Source organism: Homo sapiens, chromosome 2 (genome assembly GCF_000001405.40).
Source record: "Homo sapiens chromosome 2, GRCh38.p14 Primary Assembly".
Taxonomy (NCBI): domain Eukaryota; kingdom Metazoa; phylum Chordata; class Mammalia; order Primates; family Hominidae; genus Homo; species Homo sapiens.
In genome coordinates, this window is record NC_000002.12 from 178,686,712 (window position 1) to 178,707,522 (window position 20,811).

At 34.6% G+C, this 20,811-nt stretch overlaps 1 protein-coding gene and 2 long non-coding RNA genes across 22 annotated transcripts in view; 2 read left to right on the plus strand and 1 right to left on the minus strand.

The window, feature by feature from the left end:
* The window catches only part of TTN (titin), a 281,435-nt gene that overhangs the window by 160,723 nt on the left and 99,901 nt on the right, over positions 1-20,811 (minus strand). For 11 of the 20 annotated variants that reach the window (NM_133378.4, XM_017004821.1, NM_001256850.1 and 8 more), the window contains 27 exons: positions 20,151-20,243; positions 19,743-20,028; positions 18,463-18,646; positions 18,166-18,255; positions 17,799-18,066; positions 17,436-17,696; positions 15,743-15,952; positions 15,457-15,534; positions 15,329-15,355; positions 14,817-14,876; positions 14,409-14,492; positions 12,132-12,203; positions 10,410-10,457; positions 9,154-9,558; positions 8,637-8,699; positions 8,118-8,195; positions 7,888-7,965; positions 7,211-7,297; positions 6,898-6,978; positions 5,786-5,869; positions 5,305-5,388; positions 3,102-3,185; positions 2,804-2,884; positions 2,579-2,662; positions 2,342-2,425; positions 1,966-2,067; positions 1,400-1,513 (listed from right to left, as the gene is read on the minus strand). The exons of 5 other annotated variants lie outside the window; for them this stretch is intronic. In NM_133378.4, the coding sequence (NP_596869.4) occupies positions 1,400-1,513; positions 1,966-2,067; positions 2,342-2,425; positions 2,579-2,662; positions 2,804-2,884; positions 3,102-3,185; positions 5,305-5,388; positions 5,786-5,869; positions 6,898-6,978; positions 7,211-7,297; positions 7,888-7,965; positions 8,118-8,195; positions 8,637-8,699; positions 9,154-9,558; positions 10,410-10,457; positions 12,132-12,203; positions 14,409-14,492; positions 14,817-14,876; positions 15,329-15,355; positions 15,457-15,534; positions 15,743-15,952; positions 17,436-17,696; positions 17,799-18,066; positions 18,166-18,255; positions 18,463-18,646; positions 19,743-20,028; positions 20,151-20,243 (3,270 nt within the window). The remainder of the gene's footprint in view (positions 1-1,399; positions 1,514-1,965; positions 2,068-2,341; positions 2,426-2,578; positions 2,663-2,803; positions 2,885-3,101; positions 3,186-5,304; positions 5,389-5,785; positions 5,870-6,897; positions 6,979-7,210; positions 7,298-7,887; positions 7,966-8,117; positions 8,196-8,636; positions 8,700-9,153; positions 9,559-10,409; positions 10,458-12,131; positions 12,204-14,408; positions 14,493-14,816; positions 14,877-15,328; positions 15,356-15,456; positions 15,535-15,742; positions 15,953-17,435; positions 17,697-17,798; positions 18,067-18,165; positions 18,256-18,462; positions 18,647-19,742; positions 20,029-20,150; positions 20,244-20,811) is intronic. 4 more of the 20 variants (XM_024453098.1, XM_024453097.1, XM_017004822.1 and 1 more) reach the window with 3 other exon arrangements.
* Positions 1-20,811, plus strand: part of LOC124906100 (uncharacterized) — a 71,929-nt gene that overhangs the window by 44,395 nt on the left and 6,723 nt on the right. The gene's annotated exons all lie outside the window — the stretch shown is intronic.
* On the plus strand, positions 1,427-20,796 carry LOC124907912 (uncharacterized). The gene is made up of 2 exons (XR_007087321.1): positions 1,427-8,740; positions 20,496-20,796. It is a non-coding gene; the product is annotated as an uncharacterized LOC124907912 (long non-coding RNA).

A 20,811-nucleotide genomic window follows, 5' to 3' on the forward strand; every position in this document is an offset into this window, starting at 1 on the left:
GTCAAAGTTAAATAAGGAATAGAAGTGTCTGGTTAAAAACATATCTGCTCCTTACGCTGAAAGTAAACCTAACAAGCCACCCATCTTTGGGGCATAATGAGAACATAAAAATAATCACAGTGTTTCTCCTTTTAACTAGAGTCTGGAGTACTACAGGAAGTTTATAGTGTCAAAAGTTGAAATCAGACTATGTTTGGTTTTACAAACACTTTTAGAAAAGATGGAGTCGTCTTCAAATCTACCAGCTTCCTGACTTATGTCCACCATCATGGCCTCTTCCAGGAAGCACAACAGAGTTAATGGATTTCCTCCTGGGAGTCATGTCCCATCTTGGCCTATTCCAAGGCATTCCACTAAGACTATGGCACCTTGGATTTTTACATGGGCTTTTGTTCCAAGTGAAAAAAGGGGCATGGTGTGCCATCTTTTATTAGACAGATAAAAACAGATACTTGGGACATCTAAATGTACTTCAATTCTACTCATCTTCTCACTGGGGAGAGAGTTAGTTTGGTTAAGGAGCTTATTGATTTCTCTTTAAAAGCAGACCTTAGGAACTTTCTTAGGAAAGTTCTTTTGGCCACATGGCTCTAGCCAGAATGCTGGATTTTAGTTGGAAACCTGGTGCTGCCTTAATTCATTGAAAAAATATCCCAATGGAATAGTTTGTTGGTTCTGTCCTTAAGAAACTATAGATAATTAGCATTATAGGTATGAAAAGATCTGAGTAACAAGTCAGTCTGATCCCATATATAACACAATGGTTTTCTCCATATGTAAAATACAGGAAAGCCTTATGTGTTCAGGGCTTCAGACTCACAAATATGGCATTGACTCCTGGAATGTAATGAGGTAATATATTTTCTTGCTCATTTTAAAACATTTTAAGACATTATAGTGACTTCTGCAATTGACTTAATGGATTATAACTTGTATTTTTTAAATGCCTAGAATAAAAAAATTAAAGGATTATAATATAAAATATATTTCTGTCTGTGGATTGTGGTACAAGCAATGTTTGAGAAACACCAATTAGGCATTAGGCTACTAAGGTAAAGCTTATGCCAGCCCACCATGCTGAAGCCAAGTCCTGTTTAATGAAAGGATATATGTATATGGAGATACCTGCCCTGATTAATTATATATAAATATGAAGCCTCTTTTATTCTATGTAGGCAAGTAAGAAGGGATGCAGAAGAAATACACTGGATTTCTCTAATCTAGTATAATCCTCCTGAATCTTGTGTTTTGATCAAAATATTCATTTAATGAGACTGGTAGATGTTCACTGAATTTGTGTCACTTTTTTCTGTCTCTTTTCATTGGTCTGTAGACAATTTGTGAAAGAAAACACCTCATCAAAACCCCAGATCATCTCTAGCTTATTTGCATTGTTTACCTTCATATTCTGTAACCTCTGCTTCTTCCTCCTCCTCTCTTTCTTCTTCTCTATAAACTGAAATGGACACACCTTCCTCCTCTTCTGAGTAACTCCATTCCTCCTCTGCAGATACTTTAAAAGATAAGGTTTCATTTAAATTCAGCCTGCTGAGATACAGATGTATATACAGCCATGTGGTCACTACAGATGGATAACTGTTCTTCTATCTGCTTAGGACATAGCTTCATGGTACTTCCTCACTATAAGAAGGAGGAAGCTAATTTAAGATGAGGGCAAGTACAGCCCAAGACTGAGAATGATACTTGAGTTATGTCCAAGTGTGGCCACTTTCAAAATTATAACATTTTCGGGACTCATCCACTTCCTTCGAATGATTCAAGGCCAACATAGACACAAAAGACTCAGTCCCAGAAGGCTACAAAAGGTAGACACATTCTAATACCAACATAAGGAGAAATAACTGATGAGGACATGTTCTAAAGTAAACAATCACATGTGGAAGAAGAAGAGACTTTGAGGAAACACACACAAACTCATTTATCCCCTGACTTCCGATTATATACCTTCGTGCCGCGTGACTTCCACTCTTTGAGGAACTGCGAAGGATAGTTTTTCTTCAGCAACAAATCTCTTTTCTTCTACAACAGTTTTCTTAGAGACTTCAGCTTTAAGAAAGTGTTAAAGTTGAAGTTTAAAATCAAGAATTTTAACAATTCTCACTTTCTAGAATTTGGGGAAGAGTTGCACAGTACACCACTTTGACTAGCAAAATGGGAAAACAAGTTACATATCACAAGGACATAAACACAAAAGTTTCACTGCAAGTGAGACAATGGATCAGTATAAGCACAGACCAGATGGAAAAAGCAAGAATTTAACACACTCGAAGATTTTTTTTTTTTTTTTTTTTTTTTGTCAGAGGATTGAGGCAAATCCTACCTCGGGGAGGAGGAGCTTTCTTAGCGACAGGAACTGGCACTGCAACTTTCTCCTCTGGGACGGGTTTCTTAGGCAGAGCTGGCACTTTAGAGACATTATGCACTTTTAGAAATTTAATGTGATCTCATTGAAGCCCAGTGCAAAACAAAGAAATACACCCACAGTGCACTCATATCACAAAACTAACAAAATCACTGGAACATAAAGACAGTTCTTGGGAAGATGGAGAAACAATACCTTTTGGTGGTGGTGGAACTTCTTCCTCCTTCCGAGGAACAGGTTTCCTTTCTTCAGGAACTTTCTTCTTTGGTATTTCTGGCACTTAAAGGATAGTATTGAATTTTAAAATTTGTCAAAAAGGCCAAATAAATGAGCAACATAGAAGTGGCAATTAAAGAAGACATGCAATTAAAGAGGCTTGAAGGAAAGACAAGGTTATTTCATGGAGATGGGATTAAGTACCTGCTGGTGGTGGAGATTCCTCTCTTTGAGTTACAATGGTTATTTTTTCTTCTGTCACAACTCCCTTCTGTACTTCAGGAACTTGAAGAGACATTTTTAGAATTGACTTTATATTTTCTAAAGTAGCTATGCACAGTTATTTTTTTTAAGAAAGCAGACGGGTGGACAGACACTTTTGTTCAGTTCTCACCACAAAACATTCATTTAGAATTAAACTAACTCAATGAACAGATAATTAAACACAACATATTTTGTATCAAAGATAAAAGATAGGGCTTTACGTCGAAAGCCACTGTACCTTTAGCTGGGGGAGCTTCCTTTTTCTTTGCAACAGGAACGGGAATCTTTTCTTCAGGGACAGGTTTCTTTGGCACCTCTGGGACTTAAAGTTTTTGAAACACAATGTTAGTTCAGACATATATCACTTTTATGAAAGAACATAGGCACATGCACAAATCTTTATGTAGTACATTAATGTTGTTATGGATTATCTATGCATCAGCAAAATTATCCAGAAAATTAAACTAACTATACTATTCCAAGGATCACAATGTGATAAATATCACAAATAATGTTTTAGAGGCATTTAGGCAAAAATGAGTTATGTAACAAAGTTGTGCACAGAATTCATCCTTTATATATTGTATGACCTTGCTAAAAACAAATTAGTGATGACACAAACAATCAAGAATGTGGATATGGTATATAGAAAACTTCTTTACGCTTTGTATTGAGAAATGGAGTACTTAATAACAATGGCTTTAGTTTATCTAAGACTATTTTAGACTAAGACTAAGAAGTCTTAGAATAGTTGAATATGTGTAACTTACTTCTCTTCCCCACATTTCTCCTCTCATTTTTGGGGGGTGTGCCTGTAGTGAATTCAAAACTCAGGAAACACTCTAGAGTAGGTCTCTCAATCTGATACCCATGTGTTAATGACTTTACAGAGCTTTGTGTGCAGAATTTTGTGGGTATGTGTATTTGTGCTTTTTTTTTCTAAGGGGCTCTAGAGTTTTGAACAGGGTTTTCAACCTAAAAAATGTTTACAGTGTATTTGATTTATCTATTCTAAGAATGGATAATGTTGACTTTTTAATTGGAAGATGAATTTTAACAGCATGCATTATTGGCAATAATTGTTCTCATTTTAAATACAATATTGGCAGCTTTTGTGAATCCCTGCACCTCTGCACGTGCATTTGTAATATTTTGGTGCAATTATATAGCTGTTAATTTATATATGTATATGTTATGCTATATATACATGCAGTATTTATATATATATACGTGCTATTATACTATGTGTATTTGTTTTTATGAGTAAATGAGAGATGCCTCTGTGTCTCCTTTAGAAGACATATATGACTTTGCTGAAAACGAATTAGTGATTACACAAACAGTCAAGAATGTTCAGATAGTATATAGAAAAGGTTCTTTATGCTTTGTATGGGGAAATGTAGTACATAATAACAATGGATTTAATTTATCTAAGACGATCTGTCTCAAGTAGCTTTAGTATTAGTATTGGTTTTACTAACATGACCTTTGTATTTAATGGTTAGATAATCAAAAGAATTTTGAAAGAGCCAAGAGTTTGAGAAAGAGAGAAGCATATTTGATTCAGGAAGAAAATAGAAACATTGCAAAGTCAGGCCAAGGGAACACTATTCAAAATGTACTATTTTAGTTAGGTCTGGTTTCTCCTAAATTGGATAATGTTGAATTCTTGCTGAGTCTCTCTATAACTGAATGGATGCGTGCAATTGTAGCTTCAGTGCTTCAATAAGATAGTGCCTTTTATCGCCAAAAAAATCCCAAACAAACCAAAGCAAGGGATTTGTGATATACCACAGCAGCACATTTTCATTCAAACATACCTCTGTGAAAGGTACTTTGACTAGCTAATTAGATAACGGAAACATTTATGGCAAATACTGAAGCTCAGTTAAGGTCTCAAGAAAATGGTGAAAGTAAACTTCAAAAAATCTGTATGTTCCCCACTATTGAAGACTCGCCACTATTGACTTTTAAGAAGCGTGGTACTATGTACGTCTTTATGTAATTAACATTCAGTTCTGCCAGACACTCTCCAGTTGTCATTGCCTGTCTCCACCTCTTCATAATGCATGAAACTGCTTTTATTAAGAAAAAGTTACATTTATGAAGGATGAAAGGTTTTTTCCTAGAAACATGTCAGTAGAAAACAAGTTTCACAAACATTTCCTCTTTCTCTAAAAGAGGGAAGATATTAAAAATGTAAGATAGCAGTTTGACATAGTTACTTCCTTTAACAATACTTTTTGGTGATGTCTTAGGAATATTCAGTATAATAAATAAAGTATGTCAAGAGCATGGCACGGAAGCTGACAAACAGTAAAAACACAAGAAGAATGTAAAAGAGACAAAAGACAAAGGCAGCATAGTACATATGAAGATCGTAGAAAGCAAAAGGCTGGCACTTGGAGCAAAGAGTCTCCCCATCATTGGCTCTGGCGTACCTTTTGGGGGAGCAGCAGGTTCCTTCTTAGGCACAGGAACTGGCTTTTTCTCCTCTGGCACGGGTTTCTTGGGAACCTCAGGAACTTTAAAGATACAATTGTTGAAATAATGTGGAATATTCTAGTCACCTTCTGAGACATCTAAGATTACATTAAAGCATAAATCTTCACTAACAGTGTGAGAATTAGGAAGTAATTTAAATATGCCTACTTGTGGTAGAAATGAAAGCTAAATACCTCAACACCATATAGACATTACATACATTACACAAGCAGACAAAGACCCAGTTAGCGTGATCTGGAGTTTAGAAATGTTACCAATACTTGTATAACACATCACCACAAATAAATGAAATCAATATACACAGAATTAAATATATTATAGATGGTTTACAGATGCTATTTTGTTAATACACAGATCTTATAGAAAAAGATACAAGATGGATGCTAAGAATTATTTTTTTCACAAATATTATTCTACCTTTTGGTGCTGGGGGCTCCACTTTTTTAGGGATAGGAACAGGGGCCACTTCTTCTGGAGCTGGTTTCTCAGGTAGCTCAGGGACTTTAAAAGAAAAGTGCCATTTTTGAGAAAGTGTGCATTTGACAAGGCATATGTTGTTGTAAGACTTAGAATTAAATAGAGATTCCCTTTTTATACCAACTGAATGCAAGAAAATTATGCTTTAGAAATGAGAGTAAATGAAGATGGCTGAATGGCTAATTAGAAAATGTGACTGCTGTCACCTTTAACTGCAGAAGCCTCTACTTTGTCAGGAACAGGTAGGAGCAATCCTCCCTCGGAGGTGCCTGTGTCAGTTCCTCAGAAACCAGCTTTTTATGAACATCGATAACTATGAAGTTAGTTTTTTTTTTTGTAACCTTTACTTTTATAAAGCAGTTTCATAAATACAATTGCATTAGATTTTTTTGTGTCTTAAATGTTTAACAATTTGGGTGGGATGGAGGGGGTGGAGCCTTGATCTATAGTGCTTGCAGATTTCCGATTTCCAAGGTGGTATAAACACTCCCTCCCACCCTGGCTGTCAAGGTGATGTCATTGTCCTGGAGTTGGAAAGAGATGTGCAGTAGTACATTATATGGCATTTCCACCACACAGACACAAAGATGGAAACAATCTCAGAAACACAGATAAGAACAAAATGCAGTAAAATAGGAGTTTTGAGTATTTATTAATATTTAAAAATATACTTTATTGGACTGTAAATTTACATAATCTAATTTTTAATAATGGTGGTGTTAAACTACTGACTGGCAAAATTCCTGAAAATGTAACCATAGGCTCTGGTGAGCTAGCATGAACTGGCTCCAGGACACTGTATTTCCAAGTAACAGGTTACGAGATTGCAAACTCTCTGAAGCAGGGAATGGAGCCTCCCATAATTTTCACTTTTTTCCCCCTGTGCCTTCCTCATGGTTCTTCCCGTCCCCCATCACATCCTTTGTACATAGTGGCTATAGGTATGCACACTGTGACTAAATCTATTATTTAATACTAACATAAATGTTTTACTATGGTATTTGTACTAATTTTTATTAAAAGAGTTTAAACTTAGAATGAATTACTAATACCTTTAGGTGGTGGTTCAACCCTTTTGGAAATGGCAACGTGAATTTTCTCTTCAGTAACAATTTCCTTTTGTACCTCGGGGACTTAAAAAAATGTACATTTTAATTACTGATATGCCATGTTGTGGGTGGTAATTGTAATTTACAAAGAACATTAAAATAAAAATGAAAACAGAGACAAACATGAAATGAAAAAGATGACAGAATTTACAAGGAGACAGAAATGTCTACACGATCACAAATTAGACAACAAGAGGGATAAAAATCTGCCTAAAACCCTTCCATTTGAGCCCCCACATTCCAGTTTGCCTTATACCTGTGACTGACACCTCCTCCTCTGTGTGAGAAGCAAAGAACATCTTTTCTTCTGAAATAACCATCTTCTTTGTATGCACAGCTGGTACTTTAAAGAGAGTATTTCACATTAGTATTCCTTTTTTTTAGTACAAGACATCAGATCAAACACATGGATTTTATACTCAAGTATTTAGACACAGAATGAGTGGGTTAATATGGTAGCTTGAGAACAAATTCAGTATTGACAAGAAAACAAATCATGTTTTGATCTATAGGGACAAACAATGCATGCAGCCTTCATCAAACATTCTTAAATGAGAATCAAATAGACACAACTTCTTCACACACAATGTTGTGCTTTTCCAAATCTGTTAGGGTCTATTTCTATAAATAAGAGGACAGGGAATATTATATGCAATGGAATGCATTGCATAGTGAAGTTAGCAAACTACTAATTAAACACAAACCTTCTTTATAATAAAAAAATGTAATTTTTAAGCAGAACTAGAAACAAAGTAGATAATGTTACTATTTAAATTAAACATATGTGCAACTCAACATAAAATTTGTATTATGTAAAAATGTGCTGTTTTTGGTCGTTTCAGATTTGTGAGTTACTTAGCAATATATGTACACATGTCCATACACATAAATAAAAAAATTTTGAACTTGTAGCTGAAACACAAAGATGTATACCTTTCACTTCAATAACTTCTTCCTGTACTGGAGTCCGGGAAGGTTTTTGTGGAACAATCTTCTTTGAAACTTCAGGTACTTTAAAAATATGTACAAATATATTTGTATTTTGAAGAATATTGCTTTGCACAAAATTTAAAAGTATTTGATTATATAAATAACTAATGTGAGTATAGATCAGTAAACATATTACTTGTGTACATGGGTGCTAGGAATGTTTTAAATAATACCTTTGGTGACTTGAACTTTTTCTTCCTCCATTCTTCGAGAAGTCTTTTCAATTTTTTCAATTACTGGCTTCTTTATAACTGCAAGCATTTTAGAGAAATTGCAGTACTTTTAGAATTCCTATTAAAATTCTCTCTCTCTCTATCTCTCTCTCTCTGTGTATATGTGTTTATACACACCTATAAGTGTATATGCAGATACATGTATCATTTTTTAAAGAGAGAGATGAGTTCGGTTTTTTTTTCTTTGACCTTTACGCACAACTTTGAACTCTGGGTACAAGTTTCTGTACTTAACATATTTTGGTTATATTTAAGTTTACCATTACAATTTTTATCATCTTTTGATTTTTTAATGAAATCAATTAGATAGAAATTTTAAGAAAAAAAAATCATTCACAATAAAGCTTAGAGAAGAAGTTGTGCCTATTGGATTGAACTGCTGATTTATACATTGCTGCCAAACAAGCCATGATAATGATGTTGATGCTCTAGTCTATTTAAATATTTCTAATTACTTACCTTTAGGAGGTGGTGGTGCTTTCTTTTCAGGTACTTTGGCTGGAACTTTTCTCTCATGTGATTCTGAAATAAAAACACAGGAATAAGAAGGGATGCTTAAATAGGTAAGTTCTCTTAGGTTGTTAATTGCAAATGAGATAAGGTAAGGATAATATATAATCGTGTGAAGTATTATATTTGGGATCGTTATTACCAACACAATTCTTAGTGCTAGGATTTGAAGCAGGATCAAGCAGAGATGCAACAAGGCAGTAAAAGTAAAACTTGAACTTCTGCATTAGAAATTAGCACTTGGAATTTAGTGTTAGTAATAAGACTAAATGATTTAGCTTGTAATGTCAAAGCATGAAAGTAACTCTGAGGAAAATAACTTTTAAAAGATTTCTAACCTTAAAAAAATCTAAGATCATTTTAACTATTTCACATAAACTGCAAATCAGGTTCATAGCATTGAAAATTTAATGAACTGAGCAAAAATGAAGAAAAGAGGGAAACAAGTCATTCAGTTTATACATACCTTCATAGACCTCCTTTTGAACTTGAATTACTTCCCTTTCTTGGTAAGCCTCTTCCCACTCTTCCTCCCCTTCGTCATAGCCTTCTTCCCTTTCATAGTATTCTTGCCCTTCTTCAAAATCTTCTTCCCATTCCTCGTGAACTTCTTTTTTAGCTTCTACCTTAATCTCTTCATAGTCTTCATCTGGTTCTTCATAATAAGGTTGTTCAAATGGCTCTGTGTATGGTTCTACCTCCAGTTCGTCATAAGGTTCTTCGAAAGATTCAATGAAGACTCTCTTCTCCTTGTGGACTGCTTGCTTTTTCTCATACACAGCTTCTTTTTCTTTCTGAACCTCTTTCTTTCTGGTTATAGTCATTATTTTTACTTCTTCAGCTTTAGAGGATACATCAATGATTTCAGGAGCTAAAATAGATAAAGATACTATTAGCATATTAATTCTATCCATCCAACTGCTTCACTAAACAAAAATCTACCTAGTTAAACAACATCAGTATTTCAGATCTATTTTATTGATAATTTGTTTTTTTTTTTTGTATTGGTTCCATTTAAATTTTTGACTATGGAACATAGTAGAGTATCAAGATGCATTCTACTCTTGATTTGAGGATTTTTCCAGTATGAAAAAATGGATTCAATAAATATTATCAAATGGACACACCTTCTATTATTCCATGAGAGCTCCAGTTTGCAGAACCCCTAGTTTCTTCCAGTGGAATAGTTTTAATATTCGATAAGTTCATGGAATTTATATTTCATATTTATACAGTTAACCTTTTTAAAAAGTTCTGATTATTATTTCAAAAACATTTCTAATTTTAAACCTAGGTTTTTGACTATTGCATATGATCCCTTAGTCAGTTTCATAAAAACAACATTTAAAATTATGTAACCAAGTTAATTAGGTACTTTTAGATAACAGATTTTTAAAGTTCTTAAGGGCTCTCATTATTTATATGACTCTTAACATTTGTGTTAACTACAATAAAAAAATAAGGAATGGCCCTTCCTTTCTAGCCCTCACTTCTTCTTTCTCTGAGACCATTGCACAGAGGCAGCATAAACATCTGCCTGGGTTTGTTTTCCTGGGAAAGGGGCAATATGAAATAGCCATCATTTCTAATGCTAAATTTAACACAGCAGAGGAGACTCCACAACTTTCAATAAGTTGGAAGCCTAATATTTAAAATAAGAATAGTTAGCAGAAGTGCAAATCTCAGGAATAAACAGAATAAAAATAATTTATCTTTATTTACCTTTTGCTGGAATTAAGGTAGTAGGAGGTGGAGGCTTCTTGACAATCTCTGGGAGTTTAAAAACATAAAAATGTGTGTTTATTTTTAGATTACATTATTATTAATGTTTACTAATCCTCCACATCATTGTTAGTTGTTTGTAGGAGCTATGACTACTACTCATACACCAGCCCTTCCAGGAATCATAATAATGCTTCTATAATTTCCAAATCTAGCTCATTAGAAATGCTATGCAAGGCCATATTAACAAAAATCAAACATGCAAAAGGCCAAAGTTTGATTCTAGTTTAGATTGATTTAAGATCATTTAAATTGGTTCTAGTTTAGATTGATTTCTAATAAGTTAACATTAAGCATGAAGAGAATGTTTAATATGTCCAATGCTAAAAATAACACATTAGACTTTTTCAATTATTAACTATGAAGTTCATGAAATATCCATGCTTTTTGAGTGTCCTCTTATTCCATGATGTTTCACAAATGACCACTCAGAAAAGTCTGAATGATGAATGATGCCTTGTGTTTCCATATTTTCCTTCTTTATGGAGGTTGCTGTACTCTAATCTTAGTCAAATGAGTTAAAACTATTTGTTTAAATTTAGTTATCCAACTGTTTTCCTAAAAATCTTCGAGGATATATTGAAAGTTAAAGTGATTTGAATTGATCCTCCTTCATAAAGTATTTTTTCTTCAAATATTGATATTTAGATCACCTAAATCAGGAAAGATACTGAGGTGGGTTGCAGCAACCTCTTAAAATTAGCAGCAACCCTTGATCTTACATTGATGTGACTTTATCAAGACCAGCTGTTGGGTACTTCCATGTTCATTGCAGCATTATTCACAAAGACCAAGTTATGGAAACACCCTAAGTGTCCATCAATGGATGAATACATAAGGAAAAGGTGGTATATAAATACACAATGGAATACTATTCAGCCTTATAAAAAAAGGGAATTTTGTCATTTGTGACAACATGGATAGAACTGGAGATTATGCTAAGTGAAATAAGCCAGGCACAGAAAGACAAAGACTGTAAGTTCTCACTTAGATGTGGAACTAAAAAAGTTGAATTCATAAAGAGTAGAATGATGGTTACAGAGGCTGGGGATTTGAGGGAATGGGGAAATGTTGGTCAAAGGGTACAAAATCTTAGACAGAAGAAACATGGCTTTTCTTGAGATCTGTTGCACAGAGTGGTGAATATAGTTAATAATAGTGTACTGTACATTTCAAAATCGCTAAGAGTAAATTTCAAATATTCTCACCACAAAAATGTTAAGTATTTGAGGTGATGGATATGTTAATTGGCTTGATTTAATTATTCCATATTGTATTCACAGATCATAACATCACTTTGTACCCCATAAATATATACACAATAGTAAATAGTCAATTTACAATAAAATAAAAAAGAAAAAAAAAGAATAGCTGTTGGATTTCTGGGCAAGACCTTCTTTAAATTTTCATCCAGAAATAACCAGAATACACTGGTGTTGTCATTGGTTCCCAGGGGCTCAGGAGGACAGGAAAGAGAAAAGGGGGAAAAAAGGAGTTGAGAGAGTGAGGACTGAGTCAAAGACGAGGGCGAAAGTGAGTGAAGGGAGAGGTACCATTTTGTGATTGCAAACTCTTACCCTTCCTTCACCCTCCACTGTTTAGAATTTAAAAGTTTTGGCCAAGAAAAAAGTGTTAAGACTGCTTTTTGATTAATTATAATACCTTCACGTGGTGTCATCTCTTTGGGCTTTGCAACAACTTTTTTGGCATCTTTCTTCACAGCCTTTTTGGTAACTAAAAAAAAAAAAAAAGAAAAAAAAAGAAAAAATATTTCTGGTGTAAGTAACTAAAATGCTTTCAGGAAACTAGGAATTTTATTGAAATATTTTATTTTTCCATATGTTGATAGTAGCGAGATTCTGCATATTACTACAAGATATTTGTTTTGGAAAGATCTAGGACTAGATGCAAAAAAATTGTTTTGGAGGGATATAGAAAATGTACTGTGATCTTACATCTTCACTGATTTTATGTCTGCTGAGAGTTAAAGTTTTCAGAACATGGAGTGTGAATCTAAGTGATATCATAAATAGTAAAGTACACATTTTCATCTTTGCTTCATCCTTAGGGACGAACACAAATATGTTAGGAGGAAGAGTAACAAGTGGGTTTAAAGTCCTTTGTTGTGCAGCTGTTATACCTTAACCACGGTTCCTAATCATACTTGATTATGGCCTTTTGTATTCATGAATAAATAACACTCTTTTTTTTTTTTTTTTTTTTTTTTTTTTTTTTTTTTTTTTTTTTTTGAGACGGAGTCCCGCTGTTTAGCCCAGGCCGGATTGCAGTGGCGCAATCTCGGCTCACTGCAAGCTCCGCCTCCCAGGTCCACACCATTCTCCTGCCTCAGCCTCCCGAGTAGCTGGGACTACAGGCGCCCGCCACCGCGCCCGGCTAATTTTTTGTATTTTTAGTAGAGACGGGGTTTCACCGTGTTAGCCAAGATGGTCTCGATCTCCTGACCTTGTGATCCGCCCGCCTCGGCCTCCCAAAGTGCTGGGATTACAGGCGTGAGCCACCGCGCCCAGCCCACTCTTTTTTAATTTTTTTTTTTTTTTTTTTTTGAGACGGAGTCTCACTCTGTCACCCAGGCTGGAGTGCAGTGGCTCGATCTCGGCTCATTGCAAGCTCCGCCTCCCGGGTTCACGCCATTCTCCTGCCTCAGCCTCTCTGAGTAGCTGGGACTACAGGTGCCCACCACCACGCCCGGCTAATTTTTTGTATTTTTAGTAGAGACGCGGTTTCATCGTGGTCTCGATCTCCTGACCTCGTGATCCGCCCACCTCGGCCTCCCAAAGTGCTGGGATTACAAGCGTGAGCCACCGCGCCAGGCCTCTTTTTTAATTTTTAAAACATTATTTAACTTCTCAAGTTTCACAGTGAGTACCAAACTTAGCCATGTTGATACTACCAGTCAAAGAACAAATCATTCATTAACATAAGTTATTATTTTTGACAACAGAAATAGAAATGGAAATCCAATTTATGATTGTTGATTCTTGTTCCTCTCTGTTCTCACAGCTAGATAAAATGCTTATGTTCGTATGAATCATAAAAATGCTTCTCTTTGTTAATGAGGTTGCATTAGTCACAAAATTGGAAGTTTCTAATTGAATTTCCTCTAAGGCTGGCTGAAAAATAGGTCAAGCGTTTAATGCCAATTATAGCGGGTGTTAAGGGCCTACCATTTCCACCCCTTGAATCTAATACAGTAGTAGTGACTTAGCTATAGAAAAATGTGATTTTGACATACAGAATTTTTTCTGACCATGCTGGGAGAATTCTGACAGCATTTCTGAACTCCCTATAACTCCAGAAAGTCCCAGGAAATCTGTTGTCTAATTTAGTTGAGAAGCTTTGGGACACAAATACTACAACTTCTCTACTGAGTATTTGAGAGGAGCAATTCCTTGGAACACTTAAGATCTCTTTATTGGTGAGATCATGCCTTAGGTACAAAAGAAGTCAAATATTTCATAAGTATTCTAAATCATATTTTATGTGACAAAATAGTAAATTTTTAAGAGTAGTTAATACTATAAATTGAGAAAAGCCACAAGCTATAATTTGCAATTTGGCTGTAAACTACTATGGTTTATTTCTATAAGCTGCACTAGAAATTGGTTCCATTATTCTTTTTGTTATACATAGTAGTTAGGAAAATATGAAACATTAAATTAGTTCTCTATTAATGTTTCAGTAATTTCATTAAAATAAAATATTTTAATACCAAAATAGTATTTTGTTTGATGATTTTCAGAGTTTTAAGCACATAACTTACACATTTAGTTAGCTAATACTTTGAGAAAGTAATTTACATTTTGAAAGGCAATTCCACCTCTTGACCACTAGAGGGCCAATGCGTTGTATTAAGCAACATTTTTCGGGTCAGCAGAGTGAAATTCTTATTTCGACATCTAGGTAGATGAGGTATAATACCTTCAATACGTTTTGGTGGTGGTTTCTTTTCTTCGGGTGTTGGTAGCAAAAGGGGGATAGGAGGAGCAACCACAGGAGGGATTTCTGAAGAAAATAAATGCCGTTAGTAACATGTTTTAGTTTCTTATTTTGCGTAAAATATAATGAAAAGTCTCATGCATTTCTTTCAGTACTTCATAGGTATTATAGTACGAATTCATCAGTCGGAACAAATAAAAGTAGCATTTATTTATAACTGGAACTACTTTTTTTTTTTACTTTAATTTCTAATTGCTCACTGAAGAATATGACATGGAAGGTTTTGTTCTGACTCTGCTGCAGTTTGGTCGCTGGTATAAAATTTCGTACAGATTCCTAGTGCTAGAATATTGCTGCTCCAAGCTCAGATGTTGAGGTTCTGGGTCTTACCTTCTGGTGGCACTGCTCTGATAGGCATGGTTGGGATTGGAACTCTGGAGTCAGGAATATCTGGAAAGGGACATGTAATAAGCATAGAGAGACTGAGAACAAGCTATTTATTAGAAAACTAAGGTGTGTTTGATTTATTAGATCCTGAGATATGTCAGGCATATCTAATGGCAGAATCTAATATACAGACAAAATAATATTAGTATTCTTTTGTATGCAACCACGCAGGTAAGTTTTGTTCACTGTCAAAATTTGTTTCATTCTGTGGCTATTCTATTTAACATGATTCTAGCATCAGCTGAGTGAGACCTTATTATCTCTAATTTGCCAGACTCACAAGGTTTAACATTTTATTATTTGACTGAAAGTAATTCTACTGCATAACAGTTTTATTGAAAAATATTTTACCCAAAAGAGAAAGATATCTTATACATTTTAGTTTGGCTTCTGTGATTTACAAAATTATGCCAAATTTATTGTAAGCAAGGATTGATTTTTACAAAACAACTTACCAGGAGGCTTCAGCTCAAGTTTGATTTCTGCAAAATAAAAAAAAAATGATATTTTTGTGTTCAGAATGGTATAGGTAGGCTACGTGTTTCGAAGATGGCAGGGTGGCTTTCTGATGGCGCTACCTCACCTTTCGTCGTTAGGTACAGCTCTGCCGTGCTTCTTGCTTCACCTCTTGGCTCCAGCCGAGCGATGACCGAGTAGACACCTAGGGTGAAAAATCATCCAACTTTTGTTTTCTGATATGTTGCAAATAACACTTCTTTACTTCAATATACGTATGTGTTTATTTACACTTGTCTTTTCTAAAAAAGCATTCTAGATAGAATGAGAGCATGAGCGCATACAGGGTAGAAATACAGAAAACAGACGAGGCTTAAATTATACATTCACTGGAAAACTGTCAATGAAATCACCTTCATCGTCTGGGGTCACATTGTGGATGGTCATATAATGGCAGCGGCCATCATTCCTGAAGTTGTATTTCTGGCTCTCTGTCAGTTCTGTTGGTCCTTTGTACCATGTTACAATGGCATCATCAAAGGACACTTCACACTCAAAGGTGGCAGACTGATGCTCACTCACCACGATGTTCTGTATGCGCTTTGTAAACTGAATTGGTTCAGCTGTTTAAGTACAAAGAGGGTTCAAAGTTAGATTATATAGAGAGGAATTTCTTTTACTTGCTTTTACCTCAGATACTTAAAATCTCCATCTTTGTACCCAGTTATAAAATAGCAAGAAAAGTTCAAAAATCCAAAATGAGAAGAAATGCACTCTTCTTTGCATCACTAACAAAAAAGTATCCCAATTCTTAAGTGTATTCATGCTGGTCGAATGTAGCAAAGTGTAAAGAAATTATTGTGAGTTCTTAAAATATTTATATAAAGAACATACTAAAGAGAGCTAATGACCCAAAGTCAAATTAAATTTTAAAAGTGTTAGGGAACACAAACTTGATTGTACTCTACAACTTATTCCTCTGTGAAATTCTTTCTTGCCTCAGTAAAATAATTTTTGCTATTCAGGATCTATAATTGTTTATCTAATATGTATAACTTTTCCTGTAAAATAATTTCAAACGCAATCGGAAATCTGCACTTCTAAATTTCAAAAAGAAAAATTTTAGAGTTCAGAAATCTGCTAAGTACATATGGGCACAAACAAAGTATGTGTGTGGATGGCAGGAGTGCTTTCTAGAAGAGGCTGGAGGGGAGGGTCTTATATGTATAACAGTACCATAAAGTCTTAGAAATCACAGTACTCTGGTGAGCTCTATTTACTAAAGAATTATATTAAAAATATCAATTATTTAAAAAATAATTAGTACTTGCAGCTGGCCCTTTAATTTGAAAACCATTTAAAATACAACCAGTCACTGATATTCATTGTAAGGTAAGTCAGAAAAGTTGACATGCTTATGTAAATCCAATGTCATATATTTGTGTTTCAGCAACTACGAATGGGCACCAATAGCTGAAAGCAGATGCTATTATCATAGCCAAAATTTTTCTCAATACAGTTTGAGGGTGTCTTTGGAAAATGTGTATAATCAATTAGGAAATGAATGTTGTTACTCCTAAATTCTGAGATTTCACTTAATTTCAGAGATTCAGAAGGTTGAAACATGATCTGAAAATGAAATAAATATTTTTGAAAAATAGTTGCTAATTGCACATGACATGTTTATGTTATCTATATAATTTTGTACAGAGAAAGTCAGACTAAGTCCTATAAACAAAATATCAATTCCTAGCCAAGATCCTCCAGATTTACATCTATGAGATCTTGTCCTTTCCTAGCTTTCTTTCTACAATCCTAGATATGAGAATCATGAAATTTAGACTTTAGACAGAAATAACTGTTAAAGATTATGTCTTAGACTAGATTAAAATCTAAAAGAACGATGCAAAAGAACTGACACTCATTTGAATATTTCCCTTGTGCTTTTGTATGAACTTTGAGATGAATACTATGAGAACGTGTGTTGGGAAATAAGAACACATGACCACTTTGGTGTGTGTCTACAGGTAGGGTTGCAGGGGTCCTGCACAACATTTGCCATTGACCTATGCTGTACCCACAAGGACTCCATAGTGTTTCACGCACCTTCGATTCTGAGTTCTGCTGAAGTTTCAAGGTCTTCATATTTGCAGGTGTACTGACCCTGGTCTTCTGCTCGAACATCTGCAATGGTCAATTTATGGACTTTGTGTTCCACTTCTGTTTTATGTCTACCTTGGGGTTTAAGGATTCTGCCATTTCTGAACCATTCAGATTTTACATTTGGTACAGAAAATTGGCATGTCATGGTGCAAGTCTGGCCTTCTTTCAGAGTCACATCCTGAAGATGCCGTTCCCATGCAGGCTCTGTTCATGTGATACAACACGCATTTTGTTCAATATCACACGCAGATGTGCTCAACAGTAATTTAAATCTCACAAGTATTTCATAAGCCTTTTCTAACTTACCAATTACAGTTAGTTTAGCGCTAGCGATGTGTGGACCACAAACCAATCGATAATTGCCCTGGTCTTTAAGTTGACAGTTTTTGACTCTGAGTGTATGTCGGTCACCATCAATGCTTATTTCAAATTTATCACTGGGTTCCAGTTTTTCAGTTCCTTTGTACCACGAAAGCTTGATTTCTGGATAATTAATTTTAATGTCAATTTCAAAGACAGCATCATTATCTTTCAAAACTGTCTGATTTTCAATGTCCTTGATCAGAGTGACAGGCTAGGAGAATAAAGAATTAAAACACATTTGTTACTCCTTCCCTTATAATAATACTCAATAATAACTTGTTCATTTTATTATCAACATAATTCTTTTTACCTCTGTCTGTGACAGTCTTTGCTGAATAAATGATACAAGTTCCTCAAATTCCTTTTCGTCCCTCTCTGACCTCTCTATTTCCTCAATTTCCTGAGAAGAACAAAAATGATAGGCATTACAGATGAAACAAAATTTGATTTAGAGGACGCATGACTATATTCAGCTTCCATTCTGGATGCTGGTTAGGTCATATTAAATGACGTCATATAACTATAGGATTCTGGTAATTCAAAGGGAATATGTGAGATGTTTTAAATGTGACTTTTTTAGCATGATGCTATATATGAAGGAGCATACCAGTCTATGTGTCTCTTCTTCTTGGCTTTGCTTGAGCAGTTCAAATGCTTGAAGAAGACCTCGGAAGTCAGTGATTCCATACATGCGGGCATATTTTTCATATTCTTTAGGATCAACATTTTTGAGAAGTTCCATGATATCAATTTCCTCTTCTTCTCCAGCTCCTTTCTTTAAGATTGGAGTCCTAAATAAAATTTAAAAAGTAAGGATAAAACACCTGTCTTCTACTTATTTTTAATTGTCTATCATCATTCAAAGATTATATACTTCATTAAGGTTTTCTATGTTCTTTATTCAATAAATATTAATTTTACCATGTTAGCTGTGAAACAATTTAAAAATGTGGGTTTGGAGATGGAGTCGATTAAGATCAGATGGATTAGGACCATTGTAATAAAATATAGATGTAGGAATGAAAATTTTAAGAAGGGAAAGGATAATAGAAGTATTTCTGTAAACTTTATAACCAAAGAGCCTAGCTAATGAATTATAATATCAGAAAAAATAATAATAGCAATGGAAAACTTTAATAATAGAATAGTATACATATCACGGAAACGATGTGTGGAAATTGAGTGTGGATTTAATTTAATAATTATGTTGAAAAATGAACCATATTGAAATGAATGATAATTATGGAAAATGTTTAAAACAGTTGTTTTAGAGAACCATTCATAACATAAGAAATCATATATAGAAAAAAAGTTTCATACCTAGGCACAGACAATACTGGGGTTTCTTTATAGGCCATTTCTTTTTGTTTAAAAATCTTAATAGACATTCACCTCATTCTTAAAACTTTCTCTTAAATTCGGAAATTGATTCTAATGAAACAAGAACACCCAGATGTTGTGTATTTGCTTATCTGCTTCTGTGAAAATGTCTATATGCCTATGTTCTTTAACAATCTGAATCTTGAGATGGATGGCCCATGACTCTTGAGAGATTCTTTTTGTGAATGGGACATTACAGTCATCCCTCTCTATGCCTGGGAGATTGGCTTCAGGAGGCCTGTGGCCAGATGCTCAAGTCCCTGATGCAAAATGGCATAGTATTTGCATGTAACCTATGCACATCCTCCCATATGCTTCATCTCTAGATTACTTATAATATCTAATACAATGTAAGTGCTGTGTAAATGGTTGTTATGCTGTATTGTTTATTTGTATTTTTAAATTTTTTGTTCTTTAATACTTTCCACTGGGGCTGGTTGACTGTGGATGCGGAACCCACTTATATGGAGGGCTGATTGTACGATTTGTGGTTTTTATTGAACTCACTTTTTCAGCATTGCTCTAAGATCGCCTTCAATTTTCTCTTGTTTCTTCCTTTCATCCACCTGTAAGTTAACATTACTTTCAATTTCACCATGTTCGTTAAATGCCACGCATCGGTATAACCCAGAATCAGTTTTTGTGGTGTCCCTAATCTCCAGTTTTGCTTCATCGCCTTTTTGGTGGATGAAAACACGACCTCCTTGGTTCAGCTGTCTCCACTTCCCTTTTGTCCATTTAACATTTGGGATTGGGTCACCTCCAACTTTTGCAATGAAGGTCGCAGTGGTTTCTAAGGAATAATGAAAACAAGTGAATAAAAATTTAATTTTCTAAAATCAGTTCTTCCAAAATTAAATCATAAGTAAAAGGTATAAGATAGATGAAGATGTACTTCTCATGAAGTGCACTTACTTTCTACGACTCTGATACTCTGAGGTTCTGACACAAAAAAGAGTCTTCCATCTACCGCAGCTTTCTTGGTTGCTGGGGCCACAGCTGGTTTGTCTGAAAAAACATTTACATGTTTTGTTACTACAATCACCTCAGAATTACAATACATATCCCCCTTTGTAAAATAAGCCTTAGGAGGTTGGCAGTTTGATAAGTAAGTACTGCAGAATTCTCTTTCTATGTAAGGGTGGGTTACAGAAGATAAAGCAGCTTCTCAGACATTTATGCTAATGATAGCTATCAAAGGTTGAACTATAATCATATTAGTAGTGTCAATATTTTTAGACTTGGTTTTATTTTTTCCAGGTGTATCACAACAGCCTACTTTCTATCGCATTATTATAGCATCATTTTTGGAACTGCGTTAATTACATCTTAATGGATATGGTGAAAAGAAGTTCAAGAAATAGGGTGGTAAACTTGTAGTAATTTCAGATACTTTGTATTGACATTATTTCTGTTAAATTACCTAATATTTCAATTATAATAAGGAGCCTACAAATTGCAGATGAGCAACAACTGATATTTCTAAAAATCTAATTCCATTTCTAGGGAAATCATAATAAGCAAATAAACATGAGTGGTTGCTGGCTTGAGCTGCATAATACTTTTGAGGTGTCTG